The sequence below is a fragment of the Homo sapiens genome, chromosome 19 (assembly GCF_000001405.40).
Source record: "Homo sapiens chromosome 19, GRCh38.p14 Primary Assembly".
NCBI classification, from domain to species: domain Eukaryota; kingdom Metazoa; phylum Chordata; class Mammalia; order Primates; family Hominidae; genus Homo; species Homo sapiens.
Window position 1 is genome coordinate 52,368,920 of NC_000019.10, and position 19,919 is coordinate 52,388,838.

The following is a 19,919-nucleotide window of genomic DNA, read 5'->3' on the forward strand; positions in this document are numbered from 1 at the left end:
TGCAGTCAGTGAGCTGTCTGCACTTCAGCCTGAAAGACAGAGGGAGACCATCTCAAAAAAAAAAAAAAAAAAAAAAAAAAAGTTGTGACCTGAGTATGTCCATAAGACAATGGCAGGTATACACTAGGATTAATATAAATATGAAAAAAAAAAAAAAACTTGGCCGGGTGCGGTGGCTCACGCCTGTAATCCCAACATTTTGGGAGGCCAAGGCAGGCGGATCACGAGGTCAGGAGTTCAAGACCAGCCTGGCCAACATGGAGAAACCCTGTCTCTATTAAAAGTACAAAAAAGTAGCCCGGTGTGGTGGTGGGCGCCTGTAATCCCAGCTACTCGGGAGACTGAGGCAGGAGAATCGCTTGAACCCAGGCGGCGGAGGTTGCAGTGAGCCGAGATCGCGCCACTTCACTCCAGCCTGGGCAAAAGAACGAAACTCTGTCTCCAAAAAAAAAAAAAAAAAAAAAAGGAAATTGCACATTCCGCCCTGGCAGGGTTTTGCATTTCATATTTTAATTTGCATCCCCTTCATAAACAATTCAAGGACTTTAAAATTCCGGAAACTAGTGTTTATTATTCATTTATATTTATTTATTTTAATTATTTATTTCCAATTTGTTATTTATGATTATGTATTTATTAGGCGCAAGGTTTCTCTCTCATGCCCAGGCGGGAGTGCAGCGCACGACCTCGGCTCACTGCAGCCTCCACCTCATGGGCTCAAGCGATCCTCCCACCTCAGCATCCGGGTAGCTAGGACCACATGCGAGCGCCCCTACAGCCGATTTAAAATTAATTTTAATAGCAGGAATTTTCCTGGATCTAATCATCAACAAACTTTCCCTCTGCCGGGACACAATCTATTTCCAGATAGCTGAGTTCTTCCAGTCTCCACGGCAGGTCTAGCCTCCAAAACGAGACGAGCTGGGAGCGAGGCGGAGGGAAGCGCAGGCTCCGCCCAATCCCACCCGGGCCTGGCCTCGCCTCGCCTCTCAGCTGCGCGCGCAGTTTCCTGGAGACCCGGAAGCAGATTACGTGGAGTGACGGTCATGCTGCGGCGTGTGAGTTTCCCTTTGTTTAGATTAAATCTGGGATGCTGAGTCCCCTCGCGCTTCTGTACCCGGCATCTCAGGGGTCACACAGACCTTGAAATCCCCGCATCGCTCCCTCCACCCCGACTAAACTCAGACGTTCTAATGAGAGTCTGGCGGTCGCTTCCCTGAGTGTTAAAATCGCTCGGAGGCTGGTCCTGTCCCCGGTCTTTCACCACAGGGCCATGTAGACAGCTCCTGTCGCGGAGTTTGCCTGCTTCAAATCCTTCAGTGACCCCTAGACACGGCCCGCGCTGCGTAAAGTTCTCACCCGCGAGATGGATCCACGTCTTTCCGGTCCCCCAAGCCTCGCCCTCTTTTCACAGGCCTGCCCCCTTTTCTGTGCCTTAAATGAGAGGAAATCGATCTGATGTTTACTGCTGATTGTGATGTTTCAGCCTCCATTGGGCTTTTGCTAACACCTAAATAAATATTTAGTGGACAAAATTAGGTTAGTGCAAAAGTAATGGCAAACCGCGATCACTTTTGCACCAACCTAATATTTATGGGCCGGGGCTGGAATTCCATCTTCTCCGGAGGCCCAGGCTGGAGAATTCCTTGAGCACAGGAGTTTGAGACCACTCTGGACAACATAGTGAGACCCCCATCTCAATTTTTGAAACATATGTTTCAGTACGGGTATTTAATAGAGATTGGAATTCTCGTTTCTATGTTTTTACATGGTCTGACTTTTTGAAATAGTTTGAAATAATGTTTATAAACTGAATTGAGCACAGTTTATACATTTTTATTGTTGCAAACATGCTGAAATGCACATTTGCAAAAACAACGACAGCCAGGCACAGTGGTGCACGCTTGTCATTCGAGTTACTCGGAGAGGGTGTCATTTGAGGCCAGGAATTCAAGGCTGTAGTGTGCCATGAATAAGCCACTGCACTGCAACCTGGACACATTAAAAAACGAACAAAGACAAATATCTAAAAAAGAGGTTATTGACAGACAACTCTTTCAGTTGTCACATATATGTTTACTAGAGTATATGTGTGTGAATGTATATATGTATATGAATAAGTGTGTACATGTGATGTGTGTGGATGAGTGCACAGATGAGCAAGTCTATTGTTTTTATCAAAGGCGCATCATCAGTTTATATACGTCTTATATCTTTTAACAGTTGAAATTACATCTTATATATTTTCATGACCTTAAAATTGTTCTACACTGTTATGATAGTGAGTCTATGGCTGTAAGGATAGTAACCTGTTATGGGGATACATGTGCGACAGTTTCTTGATTTTAATCCCGGAACTTATTTTAACTATACTCAGTTAGGTCATTGTCTGTCAATTTACTTTTGATGCTGATCTGTTATTGTTTGATGTTTTTTTTTTTCTTTTTCTGAGATGGAGTCTCTCTTTGTCACCCAGGCTGGAGTCTCGCTTTGTCACCCAGGCTGGAGTGCAGTGGCACCATCTCAGGTCACTGCAAACTCTGCCTCCCGGGTTCAAGTGATTGTCCTGCCTCGGCCTCCCAAGTAGCTGGGATTACAGGTGCCCACCAGTACGCCTGGCTAATTTTTTTATTTTCGGTAGAGATGGGGTTTCACCATGTTTGCTAGGCTGGTCTTCAACTCCTGACCTCAAATGATCCACCTGCCTTGGCCTCCCAAAGTGCTGGGATTGCAGGCATGAGCCACCACGCCTGGCCTAATTCTTAAAGTTTGATTCTAATGCCCAGACTCCTGGGATCTGGCGCTTACTCTGCCATTTTTAGCCTTCACACCTGGGGCAAGTTTCTTAGAATGTCTGAGAAAGAGTTGTCTCTTCAATAGGATGGGAACAGATTGTTCTTTTATGGGCTTTTGTTGTTATAGCCGTTAGTACATGTACAACATTTAGAAAGTGCCTGTCACATGGGAGGTGTTCAAAAGCTTCATCCTGGCTGGGTGAGGTAGCTTACGCCTGTAATCCCAGCACTTTGGGAGGCCGAGGCGGGAGGATTGCTGAGGTCAGGAGTTCAAGACCAGCCTGACCAACATAGTGAAAACCTGTCTCTACTAAAAATAGAAAAATTAGCTGGGCACAGTGGTGGGTGCCTGTAGTCCCAGCTACTCGGGAGGCTGAGGCAGAAGAATCACTTGAACCTGGGAGGCGGATGTTGCAGTGAGCCAAGATTGTGCCACTGCACTCCAGCCTGGGCAATAAAGTGAGACTCCATCTAAAAAAAAATTATATATATTGTATCTGACGCTTCTATAGAAATAACTGTGGGTTAATTTTTTGTATTTCTTATGTTGTCCACAAAATTAGAAATCTCTACTAATTTTTTTTTTTTTTGGAGACAGAGTCTCGCTCAGTTGCCCAGGCTGGAGTGCAGTGGCACCATCTCGGCTCACTGCAAGCTCCGCCTCCCAGGTTCACGCCATTCTCCTGCCTCAGCCTCACGAGTAACTGGGACTACAGGCGCCCGCCACTACGCCTGGCTAATTTTTTTGTATTTTTAGTAGAGACAGGGCTTCACCATGTTAGCCAGGATGGTCTCGATCTCGTGACCTCATGATCCACCCGCCTTGGCCTCCCAAAGTGCTGGGATTACAGGTGTGAGCCACCGCGCCCGGCCTAGAAATCTATACTAATTTAAAGAATATCAGGTTGGGCATGCAGTGGCTCATGCCTGTAATCCCAGCACTTTGGGAGGCCGAGGTGGGCGGATCACGAAGTCAGGAGATCGAGACCATCCTGTGTAACATGGTGAAACCGCATCTCTACTAACAATACAAAAAAAAAAAAAAATTAGCTGGGCGTGGTGGCGGGCGCCTGTAGTCCCAGCTACTCGGGAGGCTGAGGCAGGAGAATGGCGTGAACCTGGGAGGCGGAGGTTGCAGTGAGCCAGGATCGCGCCACTGCACTCCAGCTTGGGCGACAGAGCGAGACTCCGTCTCAAAAAAAAAAAAAAAAAAAAAAAAAGAATGTCATAACTTCTAATGGAGAAGTATATTAAAACACAATTAGAAACATATAACTAGCTAAAAAAATACCTTAACGTGGATTTGTCAGAACATCCACTTCAATCAAGTCAGTCCTTACAACTGTCTCCTCATTTTGTGTGATATCCTGTTGGTGAAATGTGTTTTTCATTTTAGGGACACTTGGCATTCAGGGACGTGGCCATAGAATTCCCTCAGGAGGAGTGGAAATGTCTGGACCCTGCTCAGAGGACTTTATACAGGGAAGTGATGGTGGAGAACTACAGGAACCTGGTCTTTCTGGGTGAGGATAATGTCCCTTCAGAAGTCAAGATCTGCCCTGGTGTATTTTTGCATTTTGTCGTGTGCCTCTTAGCATCTTAGGAGTCACTGTATTGCTTGACTGAGATTGAAACCCTGTTGACTCAGAAATGAAAACCTCCATAATGCTTTATAATGCTGTATTTTTCAGAAACAATAAGCTCCATAATACTTTCTGGACTTAAAATAATTGCTTTCTTCAGAATTCTGGCCCCTTTGAGATTCATCATTGAGTGGTACCAGGGCTTAAGTATGCGTCAAACCTTATGACAGACTTAAGATATACAGTTCTGTGTTATCCACCCCTGTGCTTATTATTTATTAGTTCTTGTAAGAGAGCTTGATGTCTGCATGTTACAATGTTCCCTCAGCATTCAGAAGGAGGCAGTGGATGAATTCATGTGAAATACTGTAATTTTTTTTTTTTTTTTTTTTTTTGAGACAGAGTCTCCCTGTGTTGCCAGGCTGGAGTGCAGTGGCAGGATCTCAGCTCAATGCAACCTCCGCCTCCCGTTTTCAAGCAATTCTGCCTCAGCCTCCCGAGTAGCTGGGACTACAGGCACGTGCCACCACGCCTGGCTAATTTTTGTATTTTTAGTGGAGATGGGGTTTCACCATATTGGTCAGGCTAGTCTTGAACTCCTGACCTCGTGATCCGCCCACCTCGGCCTCCCAAAGTGCTGAGATTATAGGCGTGAGCCACCGTGCCTGGCGAAATACTATTCTTGATTCATTTATAATATCCTCTCTCCTACCTAGACATGGGGCTTGCATTTTGGAGATGCCACAGTACACATTTATTCTTTCTTTTTATTATTATTATTTTTTTGAGACAGAGTCTCGCTCTGTCGCCCAGGCTGGAGTGCAGTGGCGCGATCTTGGCTCACTGCAAGCTTCGCCTCCCAGGTTCACGCTGAGTATCTGGGACTACAGGCACCCGCCACCACGCCCCGCTAATTTTTTTTTTTTTTGTATTTTTTAGTAGAGATGGGGTTTCACCGTGTTAGCCAGGATAGTCTTGATATTCTTTCTTTTTTTAAATAGGAATCTGTCTTCCTGACCTGAGTGTTATCTCCATGTTGGAGCAAAGGAGAGATCCCCGGAATCTGCAGAGTGAAGTGAAAATAGCAAACAATCCAGGTGGCAGGGAGTGCATCAAAGGTGTGAACGCAGGTAAGAGCTTGGATGGCCAGAGTGGAGGCCCCATAATTTTTTTTTTTTTTAAACAGGGTCTTGCTCTGTCACCCAGGCTGTCGTAGAGTGGCAATCATCAGTGGCAATCGTGGCTTAACTCATAGCCTCAAACTCCTGGTCTCAAGTGATCCTCCTTCCTCTGCTTCCGAAAGTGGTGGGATTACAAGCATGAGCCACTGTACCCTGCAAAACCACACTTTGAGTTTCTGTTTGGGAGCTCTCTGCAAGTGAGAGAATTCTTTGGGAAAATAAAAGTTTAAATCCTGTGAGTTCTGATTGAAGTTTGTTTTGTCTTGTTTTGTTGAGACAAGTTCTTGCTCTGTTGCCCAGGCTGGAGTGTAGTGGTGGTGTGATCGTAGCCCGTGTACCCTCAGTCTTTGGGCTCATATGATCATCTCACCTCTGCCTGCCAAGTCACTGGGACTGTAGGCATGTGCCATTGCATCTTGCTAATTTTTAAAAAATCTTTTGTGGAGATGAGGTCTCACTAGGTTGCACAGGCTTGTCTTGAACTCCTGGCCTCAACTATTCTTCCCACCTGGCCTGCCAACGTGCTTGGATTGCAGGCATGACCCACCATGCCTGGCCTAGAAGGGAAATTTTTCTTTGCCCCCTCTTACTGCTGCTGTGTTCTTTGTTTTTGGCGTTTTGTTTGTTTGCTTGTTTGTTTTTGAGATGGAGTCTCACTGTGTTACCCAAACTAGTATTGGTTTTTTTTTTTTAATTTTTAATTTATTTTTATTAATTTATTTTTTTGAGACAGAGTCTTGCTCTGTCGCCCAGGCTGGAGGGCAGTGGCACGATCCTGGCTTACTGCAACCTCTGCCTCTCAATTTCAAGCCATTCTCATGCTTCAGGCTCCCAAGTAGCTGGGATTACAGGCGTGCACCACCAAGCCTGGCTAATTTTTTTTTTGTATTTTTAGTGGAAACGGGGTTTCACCATGTTGACCAAGCTGGTCTCGAACTCCTGGCCTCAAGTGATCCACCCACCTTGGCCTCCCAAAGTGCTGGGATTACAAACATGAGCCACTGCTCCCGGGCATAATGTTATTATTATAATTATTTCAATAGGGTTTTGGGGAACAAGTGGCATTTGGTTACGTAGATAAGTTCTTTAGTGGTGGTTTCTGAGATTTTGGTGCACCCATCACCCGAGCATTGTACGCTACATTCAATATATAGTCTTTTATCCCTCACCCCCCTCCCACCTTTTCCCCCAAGACCCCAAAGTCCATTGTATCGCCTTTGCATCCTCCCAGTTTAACTCCCACTTATGAGTGAGAACATACAATGTTTGGTTTTCCCTCAGGCTTTGGGCTCATATGATCATCTTGCTCTGCCTGCCAAGTCACTGGGACTGTAGGCATGTGCCATTGCATCTTGCTAATTTTTAAAAAATGTTCTGTGGAGATGAGGTCTCACTAGGTTGCCCAGGCTTGTCTTGAACTCCTGGCCTCAACTATTCTTCCCACCTGGCCTGCCTAAGTGAGTTAGTTCATTTAGAATAATGGCCTTCAATTCTATCCAGGTTGCTGCAAATGCCATTATTTCGTTCCATTTTATGGCTGAATAGCATTCCATATTAGTATGCCACATTTTCTTTATCCATTTGTTGATTGATGGGCATTTGAGCTGGTTCTCTATTTTTGCATTTGTGAATTGTGCTGCTATAAACGTGTGTGGAAGTGTCTCTTTTGTATAATGACTTCTTTTCCTCTGGGTAGATACCCAGGAGTGGTTTTGCTGGATCAAATGGTAGATCTACTTTTAGTCCTTTAAGGAATCTCCCCGCTGTTCTCCATAGTGGTTGTACTAGTTTCCATTCCCACCAGCAGTGTAAAGTGGTCCCTTTCACCACATCCACACCAACATGTAGTATGTTTTGATTTTTTGATTATGGCCATTCTTGCAGGAGTAAGAGGGTATTATATTATAGTTTTAATTTGCATTTCTCTGATAATTAGTGATGTGGAGTCTTTCTTCATATGTTTGTTGGCCATTTCTGTATTTTCTTTTGACAATTGTCTATTCATGTCCTTAGCACCGCCCCCCCCCCCCCTTTTTTTTTTTTTTTTTTGAGACAGCGTCTTGCTCTGTCGCCCAGGCTGGAGTGCAATGGCATGATCTCGGCCCCCTGCAACCTCCACCTCCCGAGTTCAAGCAATTCTCCTGCCTCAGCCTCCTGAGTAGCTGGGATTACAGGTACCCACTGCCAAGCCCAGCTAATTTTTGTATTTTTAGTAGAGACGGGGTTTCATTATGTTGGCCAGGATGGTCTCAAACTATTCACCTCAGGTGATCCACCCGCCTTGGGCTCCCAAAATGCTGGGATTATAGGGGTGAGAGACTGTGCCCGGCCCTTAGCCCACTTTTTGATAGGATTGTTTGTTTTTTTCTTGCTGATTTGTTTGAGTTCCTTGTAGATTCTGGATATTAGTCCTTTGTCAGATACATAGTTTGCAAAGATTTTCTCCCATGCTGTGGGTTGTCTGTTTACTCTGCCGATTATTTCTTTTGCTGTGTCATAGGCAAAGTCTTTATCATGATGGACAACACCCTGTCATATGGCTTATGAGAATTCTTTGATTCCATCATTCTGAAGGACATAGGGAGGGCTGTGTCAAAGGGGTCTCTTTTTCCCATGGTCTCTGTTTCTGTAGTGATTTTATCTGATGCTAAGTTTATACATCAAACCTGGGGTCTGCATAGACCTGCCTCCTTGACCTGTGTATGGTCCACACAATTTCCTATATGAGGAAGACCTCATCAGAAGATAGGAAAACATTGGCTGCTCTTTTTTTTTTGCATGTGGGGCTCAAAGATTGCATGAAGGCGTCTCAACCCCTCTTTGCCTCTTGAGGTCTTGTGGAGATAGGGAAAATCCAGTGTTTTTTCTACTCTCAAATGCCACTCAGCAGAGAGCGCTTCACTTCTGGTCAACCGAATGGGTGGGGATTTCTACGCACCAACAACCAGTTTTTCAGTGGCCATCTAATAGTTTTCTATGATGCCTTTCTGATATTATGTATCTGGAATTAGAGTCAGATCCCACAGGCAAAGGGCTGAGTTCCCAAACACGTCCCCTACCTCAGCAACCAATCACAAGTAGCAGGTTGTCACCTTTCCTTCTTACCAACCAGCTACAGGTTGGGGTTCCCTCAAGCCCCTTCTTGGGGTTGATTACTTTGCTAGGGTGGCCCACAGAACTCAGTAAAACACTTTCTTAGGTTCACTGCCTCACGCTGAAGGATGTTTTGAAGGATACAGATGAAGAGCCGGATGAGGAGATTCACAGGGGGAGGCACGTGGGAAGATTCACTGGGTGTGCCACCCTCCAGGCACCTGTGTGTCTTCAGCATTTGGAAGATCTCGTGACCCCATAGTTCAGGGATTATTTTTTATTTTTTATTTTTTTTAGACAGAGTCTTGCTCTGTCACAGGCTGTAGTGAAGTGGCACAATCTCAGCTCACTGCAATCTCCGCCTCCTGGTTCAAGTGATTCTTCTAGTTCAGGGATTTTTTATGGAGGCTTCATCACATAGGTGTGATTGATATTATCTCAGTCTCCAGCCCCTCTTCCCTTCCTGGAGGATAGTGGATAGGGCTGACACTTTCATGCTTGTAATCATGGCCTGGTCTTTCTGATGATCAGCCCAGTCCAGGGAACCTACAGAGGTTGCCTCATTAGAACAAATCACATTCCTATCACCCAGAACATTCCAAGGAGTTAGGAGCTCTGTGTCAGGAGCCAACGAAGAGACCAATGTATGCATTTCTTATTTTACAAGGTTCCTCAGCCATTCTTCAGTTGTGCTTTGTCCATACTTTAGTGGTGTGTGTAACGGGAGTAGGTGGCTCTTCTGAGATTTTTACTCAGCAGAATGGGAAAGACAGTTGACAGAAGGATCCTTTAGGCCGGGGCGGTGTCTCACGCCTGTAATCCCAGCACTTTGGGAGGCTAGGGCAGGCGGATCAGAAAGTCAGGGGATCGAAACCATCCTGGCCAACATGGTGAAACCCCGTCTCTACTAAGAATATAAAAAAAAATTAGCTGGGTGTGGTGGTGCATGCCTGTAGTCCCAGCTACTCGGGAGGCTGAGGCAGGAGAATCGCTTCAACCCGGGAGGTGGAGGTTGCAGTGAGCCAAGATCGTGCCACTGCACTCTGGCCTGGTGACAGAGCGGGACTCTGTCTCAAAAAAAAAAAAAAAAAAAAAGAAAGATCCTTTATTGGATGCCCGAGTCCTCGTGACAGAATAGCTCACTAGAATGATACATCTGGTTATAAGACTAAAGCCACTGCTGATTTTATTTTGGGCCTTTCCATGTATTAGAAATGAACTTGGGGCCAGGCACAGTGGCTCACACTTGTAATCCTAGCACTTTGGGAGGCTGAGGTTAGTGGATTGATTGAGCCCAGGAGTTTGAGACCAGCCTGGACAACATGGCAAGAACTTGTCTCTACAAAACATATAAAAATTTGGCTGTGGTGGTGCACACCTGTAGTCCTAGCTACTCAGGAGGCTGAGGTGGGAGAATCACCTGAGCCCAGGAGGTCAAGGCAGCAGCCAGCCATGATGGCGTCACTGAACTCCAGCCTTAGTACAGAGTGATACCCTGTCTCAGAAAAAAAAATAAGAAGAAAATAAAAAATAAATGAACTTATTTGTATTTAGTCAACAGTTCCATATGGTACTCTTTGTCTTCTTTGTTTTATATGTGTGGGGATGTTGTATCAGGGAATGGCCATTGATTTATATATTTTTGAGGACCTTTATTTTATTTTATTTTTTGCCTAGGAGTTTATGTAACACTTATATACACTCCAGGAGTTTTGGAATGGGTAGTATAAATATTTCTTTTCCTTTCCTTTACCTGATTAAGATATTAAATAATATTTTTGTCAGTTACGTTTATTAGAATGTATAAATTGGGAATTTATTTTCATTTTTCTTTTTTTTTTTTTGATAGAGTCTCGCTCTGTCACCCAGGCTGGAGTGCAATGCCGCGATCTCGGCTCACTGCAACCTTCGCTTCCTGGATTCAAGCAATTCTTCTGCATCGGCCTCCCCAAGTGCTAGGATTACAGGCGTGAGCCTCCGCGCCTGGCCTCATTTTTAATTTTTTTAGAGACAGGGTTTCACTCTGCTGCCCAGGCTAGATGGCAGTGGTGCAGTTTTAGGTCGCTGCATCCTTGACTTTGAGGGCAGAACTGCTCTTCCCAGCTCAGGTGATCCACCCGCCTCAGCCTCCCAAAGTTCTGGGATTACAGGCATGAGTCACTGTACCCGGCTCTGATATTTTTAATAATGCTTCAATGAACATGGGTTTCTAAATATCTCTTTAAGCTGCTATCTTAGTTCTTTTGTATATATACCCAGATGAGGAATTGTTGCCTATACTGGTAATTTGATTTTGGATTATTTGAGAAAATGTCATACTTATTTTTTTTTTTATTATTATTTTCGAGACAGGGTTTCACTCTGTCACCCAGGATAGAGTGTGGTATACAATCTCAGTTCACTGCAACCTCCGTCTCCCAGGTTCAAGTGATTCTTGTACCTCAGCCTCCCAAGTAGCTGGGATTACAGGCGTGTGCCTCCATACCCATCTAATTTTTGTACTTCTTTAATAGAGACAGGTTTTTACCATGTTGGCCAGGCTGGTCTCCAACTCCTGGTCTCAGGTGATCTACCCGCTTCAGCCTCCCAAAGTGCTGGGATTACAGGCGTGAGCCACCGTACCTGGCCCATACTTCTTTGCACCATTATACATTTCCAGCAACAGAACATAAGTCTCCCATTTCTGCACATTTTTGCCACTTGTGATGTACTGTTTTTTTTGTCTTTTGGGTTTTTTTTTTAACAATAAATATTCCATATTGGATGTGAGATGATAGCTCATTGTGTTTTTTATTTGCATTTTTCCAATGATTAGTGGTATTTTGCATGTTTAATATGGTTGCTAGTTATTTGTATATCACCTCTGGAAAAATGTGTATTCCATTCTTTTCCTTATTTCTTAATTTTTCATTTACTTTTATTCAATAATAATATTAAATGAAATCTTTTTATTTGTATGAGTTACATATATTTTAGATATTAACATCTTATCGGAGGTTTGATTTGCAAATATTTTGTTACATTAAGTTTCCTTTTGACTCTGGCAATTGTTTTCTTTCATTCACAATCATTGTCTTGTAGTGCGTTTTATGTATTTTTGCCTTCTTTCTTGTTCCGTTGTTTTAGATATATTCTTGCTCTTTTGCCTAGGCTGGAGTGCAGTGGTACAGTTATAGCTCATTGTATCCTGCATCTCCTAGGTTCAAGTGATCCTCCTGCCTCAGCCTCCCAAGTAGCTGGGACTACAGGCATGTACCACCATGCCTGGCTAATTTTTAAAAATTTTTTGTGGAGACAGGGTCTTGCTGTGTTGCCCAGGCTGGACTTGAACCCCTAGGATCAGTGATCTTCCCACCTCAGCCTTGCAAAGTGTTGGAATTACAAGCATGAGCCACTGCTCCCAACCAGAATCGTCTTTTTCTTTATTCTTCTTCTGGTTCTATCCATTTTCAAAACTGGAATATTGAAATCAACTATAATATTGTGGAGCTATTTCTCTTTGGAGTTTTATCAAGTTCCATTCTATACTTAGTTTTTTTAAATTTACTTACTACTTTTAATAGAGATGGGGTCCCAGTGTGTTGCCCAGGCTTATCTCAAACTCTTAGGCTCTAGTAATCCTCCTGCCTCAGCCTCCCAAAGGGCTGTGATTACAGGCATGAGCCACTGCATCCAGCCTCATTCTGTACTTAGGAGCTCTGACACTTGGTGTTTATATATTTATAATTGTTGTATCTTCTTGGTGAATTGAGTCTTTCATCATTTTATAATAATCTTTGTCTCTTATGGTTTTTGAATAAAAGTCTATTCTCTCATATTAACACTGCTACCTGTACTTTCTGCTGGTTCCTGTTTGCATGGAAAATATTTTTCCATCCTTTCCATTTCAGCCTGTGTGTGTCCTTAGAATTAAAGGGAGTTTCTTGCAGATGGGATTTAGTAAATCTTGTTTTCTTCTGATTGCAAAGTTAAATCAGGCCAACATTACATGAAAAGGAGAATATCAAACATAGTAACTATTAAAAACAAAAGAATACATATTAGATTATTATCTGTAGATTTTTTAAATCTTGTAGATTTTTTTCCCCTACATGTCTTTCTTACTGCCTTTTGTAGTATTTTGCTTGTTTCATCATAGTAACATACTTGAATCCCATCTCTTGTGTGTGTCGGATAGATTTTCTCTTTGTGGTTAGCATTGCAGCTACTTCAAATACTGTGAAATTGAAACATTCTATTTTTAAATATTAACAGTGTAACTTTAGGTACAGAAAGGTCTACTTCACAACTCTGCTCTCACTTTCTGCTATTAATGGCAGAAATTATTTTGATATATGTTATGGTCCCATTAACATATATCAAAAAAGCTTCTGAGAAAAAGCAGGGATTCTTAAGGAAAATCTATACATATATAGTGCTTTTTAAATGATTTTGTCTTTTAATTACTAGGAAAGAATTATGGGAGGCTGAGGCAGGTGGATCACCTGAGGTCAGGAGTTTGAGACCAGCCTGGCTGACATGGCGAAACCCCGTCTCTACTAAAAATACAAAAATTAGCCAGGTGGGGTAACGCATGCCTATAATCCCAGCTACTACTTGGGAGGCTGAGGTGGGAGAATTGTTTGAGCTTGGGAGGGGGAGGTTGCAGTGGGCCAAGATCACGCCACTGCACTCTAGCCTGGGTGACAGAGCAAGACTCTGTCTCAAAAAACAAACAAAAACCATTAAAAGTCAAGTTACAAAAGAAAAGAGTAATAATAAATATCTCTATATTTGATTATTTACTGACCTTTAATGGTGAACTTTCTATTTTCATTGAGGTTAAAGATACTATTTAGAGACCTTTTATTTTATATTGAAGGAGTCCCTTTAGCATTTCTTGTTGGGTAAGTCTAGAATACTAATGCACTCCCTCAGCTCTTCATTTTCTAAGAACATCTAAATTTCTTATTTTTGCAGGTGAATGTTACTAAATATAGTATTCTTGGTTGATATTTTTGCTTTTTTTAAAAAAGTATTTTCAACATTTCCTCTCACTGCCTTCTAGCCTGCAAAGTTTCTGTTGAAAAATACACATAATCTTATACAGTTTCCCTTTATGTGACAAGTCTTTTTTGTTGCTGCTATCAAGACTGTTTCTTTGTCTTTGACTTTTGATAATTTCTGTATAGTATGTCTCTGAATGTCCTTGGGTTCGTTTTAGTTAGCATTTTAGTTTAGTTAGTTGACCAAGCTTCTTGAATTTGTATATTTATTTCTTTCCTTAGATTGGGGATGTTTGAACATTATTTCTACAATGGTGATTTCGAATCTTCTGTCTTCCTGTGAATCTCCAATAGTTTGTATATTGTTCCACCTGATAGTATCTCAAAAATGTACTAGGGTTGGTTTTCTTCATCATTTTTTCTTTTTGCTCTTTGGAGCTGATTCTTTTGAATAACATATCTTTCAATTTGCTCATTGTTTTCTGTTCCTTTTGCAGTCTGCTGTTGAATCCCTTAGTGAAATATTACTTCAGTTATCATATTTAAGCTCCAGAATTTCTGTTCTTTTGGTTTTAGTAGTTTCTCCTGTGATTGGTATTCTTTTTCTTTTCATGTAATGTTTGCCTGATTTTATTTAGTTATCTGTCTCTGTTATCTTTTTTAGCTCATTAAGCATCTTAAGGCAGTTGCTTTAAATACCTGTCAAGTAATTCAGAGGGCTGCCTATTTTTAGGCTTGTTTTGTGGAGATTGATTGATTGATCATAATTTTAGCCATATTTCCCTGTCCTTTTGTAGGCCTCGTAATTTTTGGTTTAGGTTTGGTAAAGCAACCACTTCTCCCAGTTATTTTGTGTAAGCGTTGTGCAGGATACCTTTACTAATTAGCCTGCTATAAAGGGTATAGGAACAGCCACTCCTTTTCTGGGGATGTGTTTTTTTCCTGGCGTGTGGAAGTACTATTACTAATGACTATACAGCTGCTCTAAAAGTTCTGATTTTCCTTAAGAGGCTCATCCCTGCTTTTTCTCAAAAGCTTTCAATTTCTGTTGTATTTTTCTGCTCATAATCTCTCTCAAACTCACCCATAATCCACCTGACTCCTGCAGGTTCCCCACTGCTCCAGTGCATCCTTCCGTCCCTTTTGTTTTCTGCACTGCCAGCATGATACACACAGTATGCTGATATTCCTTCCCATGTCTGAGTCAGGTGAGGCAGAATCTAGTCTCTCTGTCAGACACTGAACATGCCATTGTCATGGGTTGAAGTTCCACTTTTTTCTTTCTTTTTTAGAGAGCAGCTCTAAATTGGGAAGCAATGCCGGAAACAAGTCTCTTAAAAATCAACTTGGATTAACCTTTCAGTTACATCTGAGTGAACTGCAGCTATTTCAAGCTGAAAGGAATATTTCTGGATGTAAACATGTCGAAAAACCTATCAACAATTCCTTAGTTTCACCACTTCAAAAAATTTATTCTAGTGTCAAATCCCACATTTTAAATAAATACAGAAATGATTTTGATGATTCTCCATTTCTCCCACAAGAACAAAAAGCACAAATAAGGGAAAAACCGTGTGAATGTAATGAGCATGGCAAAGCCTTTAGAGTGTCTTCAAGACTTGCTAACAATCAAGTAATCCACACTGCAGATAACCCTTACAAATGTAATGAATGTGACAAGGTCTTCAGTAACAGTTCAAACCTTGTACAACATCAAAGAATTCATACTGGAGAGAAGCCTTACAAGTGTCATGAATGTGGCAAGCTCTTCAATCGAATTTCACTCCTTGCACGACATCAGAGAATACATACTGGAGAGAAACCTTACAAATGTCATGAGTGTGGCAAAGTCTTCACTCAAAATTCTCACCTTGCAAATCATCACAGAATCCACACTGGAGAGAAACCTTACAAATGTAATGAGTGTGGCAAGGTCTTCAACAGAAATGCACACCTTGCACGACATCAGAAAATTCATAGTGGAGAGAAACCTTACAAATGTAAGGAATGTGGCAAAGCATTTTCAGGGGGTTCAGGCCTTACTGCTCATCTTGTAATTCACACTGGAGAGAAACTTTACAAATGTAATAAATGTGGCAAGGTCTTCAATCGAAATGCACACCTTACCAGACATCAAAGAATCCATACTGGAGAGAAACCTTATGAATGTAAAGAATGTGGCAAGGTCTTCAGGCACAAGTTTTGTCTAACCAATCATCATAGAATGCACACGGGAGAGCAACCTTACAAATGTAATGAATGTGGCAAAGCATTTAGAGACTGTTCAGGCCTTACTGCCCATCTACTAATTCACACTGGAGAGAAACCTTACAAATGTAAAGAATGTGCCAAGGTCTTCAGGCATAGATTATCCCTAAGCAATCATCAGAGATTTCATACTGGAGAGAAACCTTACAGATGTGATGAATGTGGCAAGGACTTCACTCGAAATTCAAACCTTGCAAATCATCACAGAATCCATACTGGAGAGAAACCTTACAAATGCAGTGAATGTCACAAAGTCTTTAGTCACAATTCACACCTTGCACGACATAGGCAAATTCATACTGGAGAGAAGTCTTACAAATGCAATGAATGTGGCAAGGTCTTCAGCCACAAGTTATACCTAAAAAAACATGAGAGAATTCATACTGGGGAGAAACCGTACAGATGTCATGAATGTGGTAAGGACTTCACTCGAAATTCAAACCTGGCAAATCATCACAGAATCCATACTGGAGAGAAACCGTACAGATGAAATGTGTGTGGTAAGATCTTTAGTAATAATTCACACCTTGCACAGCATGAGATAATTCATTCATGAGAGAGTTCTTACAAACTGAGTATGGCAAACTCTTCATGCTAAGTTCTAGCATTAATCAACATCAGAGATTCCATACTAAAGAGAAATCATAGCAATGTATGTGAATCAGGTCTCTTGAGGCCTGCCAAATGACTAGATATCAAAACATACATCTTGGATGAAACCATACAGATGGATTATGTATGCTGAGGCTATTATTCAAGGACCATTACTATGGAACATGATAAGATTTACACAAGCGATAATTCAGTCTCTAGTTCTCCAATATTTATGATACTGCATGCTGCAGAAAAGTCACAGCTCCAAATACGTTGAATCTCATGACGCGATGCATGTCGAAGGTCCAAGGGCATGTGGAAATGGTCAGTTATATTCAGGCAATTAAAAAACCTAATTATATGGGGTTTTTTGAAAAGGCTACTTTACATTTTATGACTTTCATCCTCAACTCTGAAATCACTTCATGTGACTTCTTTACAGACCTTTCACTGTGGTCTCTTGAATCAGTAGGATGCTGGGCGCGGTGGCTCCCGCCTGTAATCTCAGTACTTTTGGGAGGCTGAGGCGGGCGGATCACGAGGTTAGGAGATCAAGACCATCCTGGCTAACATGGTGAAACCCCATCTCTACTAAAAATACAAAAAATTAGCCAGGCATGGTGGCAGACGCCTGTAGTCCCAGCTACTCGGGAGGCTGAGGCAGGACAATGGTGTGAACCTGGGAGGTGGAGCTTGCAGTGAGCTATCACGCCACTGCACTCCAGCCTGGGGGACAGAGTGAGACTCTGTCTCAAAAAAAAAAAAAAAAAGAAAGAAAAAGAAGCAGTATGATGACAGGGATGACTTCATTAGCTGAGAATCATTTCTATCAGTTTGCCGAGGAAGAAGGACACTGCGTTTTCTTATTATTGTCTGATTTAGAGAGCATGGAGGTGGGGAGGAATCATATAAAATGATGATGGCAGTCATCATACTGTTGCTGAGCACTTTTTTCCTGACAGAATGGCACAGTGCTTCTGTGCTCTACCAACTAGCCATGAAATAGAGCATATCTGTAGAAATCATGCAAGGGAGATGGTGGGCACTAGGACTGCATAGCAATCACTGTTTAGGCAAGAATGATTAAAAAGTAGTCATTTTTGGCTGGGCGCGGTGGCTCACACCTGTAATCCCAGCACTTTGGGAGGCAAGGTGGGTGGATCACTTGAGGTCAGGAGTTTGAGACCAGCCTGGTCAATATCTCCAAACCCCATCTCTACTAAAAATACAAAAATTAGCTGAGCGTGGTGGTAGATGCTTGTAATCCCAGCTACTCGGGAGGCTGAGGCAGGAGAATCGCTTGAACCCGGGAGGCAGAGGTTGCAGTGAGCCAAGATCGCACCATTGCACTCCAGCCTGGGTGACAAGAGCAAAACTCTGTCTCAAAAAAAAAAAAAAAAAAAATAGTGGTCATTTTTGAAATGGAAGAGAGAACAGTTGATTAGAGAATTTAAACTACCAGTATGCCATGTTCTTGAGTAGCATTTACATTTAACTGTTGGCATAATTTCCAACTGTTTGATTTAGAATGTACATAGTTCTCATGTTTTAATTAATAAAATTTTCCTAAGTATGAATGAATCACATCATTTCTACCAATTGTTTTAGTCCCCCTTAGGAGAATATACTGCACAGTAATGCAACATTAATAGTAAATACTCTGCAATTTGGTTTTCTTTGTCTTCACACTGAGTTATGTAGCAGTGATATGTGTCTAATCACTCTAACTTTAGTGTAAAATAGGCATTTTTAAAAAATGCACCATTAAGGTTGACGCATCCAGAACAATTTTGTGTGTGTGAAATCAACATATGCACACACTTGTGGTGCATATCCTTGGGTAAGTATAATTTACACTAATCATACTTAATACTTGAGTTATTCTTTCTGTGCCACTTCAGCCTCCTACACCCTCAAAAGTCCATGAAACATTCACTGTTCATTATATTTCTACGTGCCTATTGTGTGCCAAGGAAGACTCATGGCATGCACCTTAATTTTTATGAAGCAAAAATACAAATATATGACAAATACTTTTTTTTTTTTTTGAGACAGTGTCTTGCTCTGTCACCCAGGCTGGAGTGCAGTGGCACAATCTCGGCTCACTGCAACCTCTGCCTCCCGGGTTCAAGCAATTCTCCTGCTTCAGCTTCCCTAATAGCTGGGACTACAGGCGCACGCTGCCACGCCCAGCTAATTTTTTGTATTTTATTAGAGACGGGGTTTCACCATGTTGCCCAGGCTGTTCTCGAACTCCTGAACTCAGGCAATCTGCCTGCCTCGGCCTCCCAAAGTGCTAGGATTACAGGCGTGAGCCACTGTGCCTGGCGACAAATACTATTAAATGAAAGAAAGTATGTTAATAAGAGTGAAAATACTGTACCACAATGTCTTTTTTTTCCTAGTAGTGCATGTCTTTTTTTTTTTTCCTAGTAGTGCTCAGTGACGTAAGTGGAAAATATTAATGTTCATAAATTTTCTTTTTTTTTTTTTTTTTGAGACAGAGTCTGGAGTGCAGTGGCACGATCTCGGCTCACTGCAACCTCCACCTCCCAGGTTGAAGCAATTCTTCTGCTTCAGCCTCCCAAATAACTGTGACTACAGGCGCGCACCACCACGCCCGGCTAATTTTTGTATTTTTAGTAGAGACAAGGTTTCACCATATTGGCTAGGCTGGTCTCAAACTCCTGACCTTGTGATCCACCCGCCTCGGACTCCCAAAGTGCGGGGATTACAGGTGTGAGCCACTGCGCCTGGCCCATAAATTTTAAGAATGGTCACATAGAATGGGAGTTTTTTTTGCTTTTGTAGATTAACTAGAAACTTCATATACTTCCCCTTACAACATTTTTGGCAATTTGAACTTTTTTTTTTTTTTTTTTTTTTTTAGGCAGAGTCTCTGTCACCAGGCTGGAGTGCAGTGGCGCGATCTTGGCTCATGGCAACCTCTGCCTCCCGGGTTCAAACGGCTGCCTCAGCCTCATGAGTACCTGGGACTACAAGCGTGCACCACCACGCCCAGCTAATTTTTGTATTTTTAATAGAGACAGGGTTTCACCATGTTGGCCGGGATGGTCTTGATCTCTTGACCTCGTGATCCACCCGCCTCAGCCTCCCAAAGTACTGAGATTACAGGTGTGAGCCACCATGCTTGACCGATAATTTGAACTTTTGACTGCTGTACTGGAATTTGTTTGAAGTCCACCTAAAGTTTGTATTATATATTGAGAATGATGATGCCATACACTGATATGGTCTGCAAATGTTTACTACATAAACATTTACATGAGGCTTTCTGGGGAAAGCAGGATGGACTTCCCCAGCTGGTCCAAATTGGAGAACAGGGATAGGTGAGCAGCCTGGGATGTTGTATTAGTCTGTTCTCATGCTGCTAATACAGACATACACAAGACTAGGTAA

The 19,919-nt window shown here is 42.3% G+C and overlaps 1 protein-coding gene across 8 annotated transcripts in view, besides 3 other annotated features; it reads left to right on the forward strand.

The window, feature by feature from the left end:
- Positions 1 to 19,919, forward strand: part of ZNF880 (zinc finger protein 880) — a 30,809-nt gene that overhangs the window by 2,062 nt on the left and 8,828 nt on the right. For 2 of the 8 annotated variants that reach the window (XM_047438838.1, XM_047438837.1), the window contains exons 1-3: positions 1,004 to 1,058; positions 4,192 to 4,318; positions 5,380 to 5,508. In XM_047438838.1, the coding sequence (XP_047294794.1) occupies positions 1,047 to 1,058; positions 4,192 to 4,318; positions 5,380 to 5,508 (268 nt within the window). In that variant the 5' untranslated portion in view covers positions 1,004 to 1,046. Of the gene's footprint in view, positions 1 to 1,003; positions 1,059 to 4,191; positions 4,319 to 5,379; positions 5,509 to 10,627; positions 10,761 to 13,356; positions 14,846 to 14,929; positions 16,877 to 19,919 lie in introns of those variants that run through there. The other 6 variants (XR_001753688.3, XM_017026812.3, NM_001145434.2 and 3 more) reach the window with 6 other exon arrangements.
- Positions 686 to 985: an enhancer, noted in NCBI's record as "active region_15046". NCBI's record gives its function as "activates an Ori minimal core promoter by ATAC-STARR-seq in GM12878 lymphoblastoid cells {active_cell/tissue: GM12878}" and the evidence as "EXISTENCE:reporter gene assay evidence [ECO:0000049][PMID:35858748]".
- Positions 996 to 1,105: an enhancer, noted in NCBI's record as "active region_15047". NCBI's record gives its function as "activates an Ori minimal core promoter by ATAC-STARR-seq in GM12878 lymphoblastoid cells {active_cell/tissue: GM12878}" and the evidence as "EXISTENCE:reporter gene assay evidence [ECO:0000049][PMID:35858748]".
- Positions 1,306 to 1,445: an enhancer, noted in NCBI's record as "active region_15048". NCBI's record gives its function as "activates an Ori minimal core promoter by ATAC-STARR-seq in GM12878 lymphoblastoid cells {active_cell/tissue: GM12878}" and the evidence as "EXISTENCE:reporter gene assay evidence [ECO:0000049][PMID:35858748]".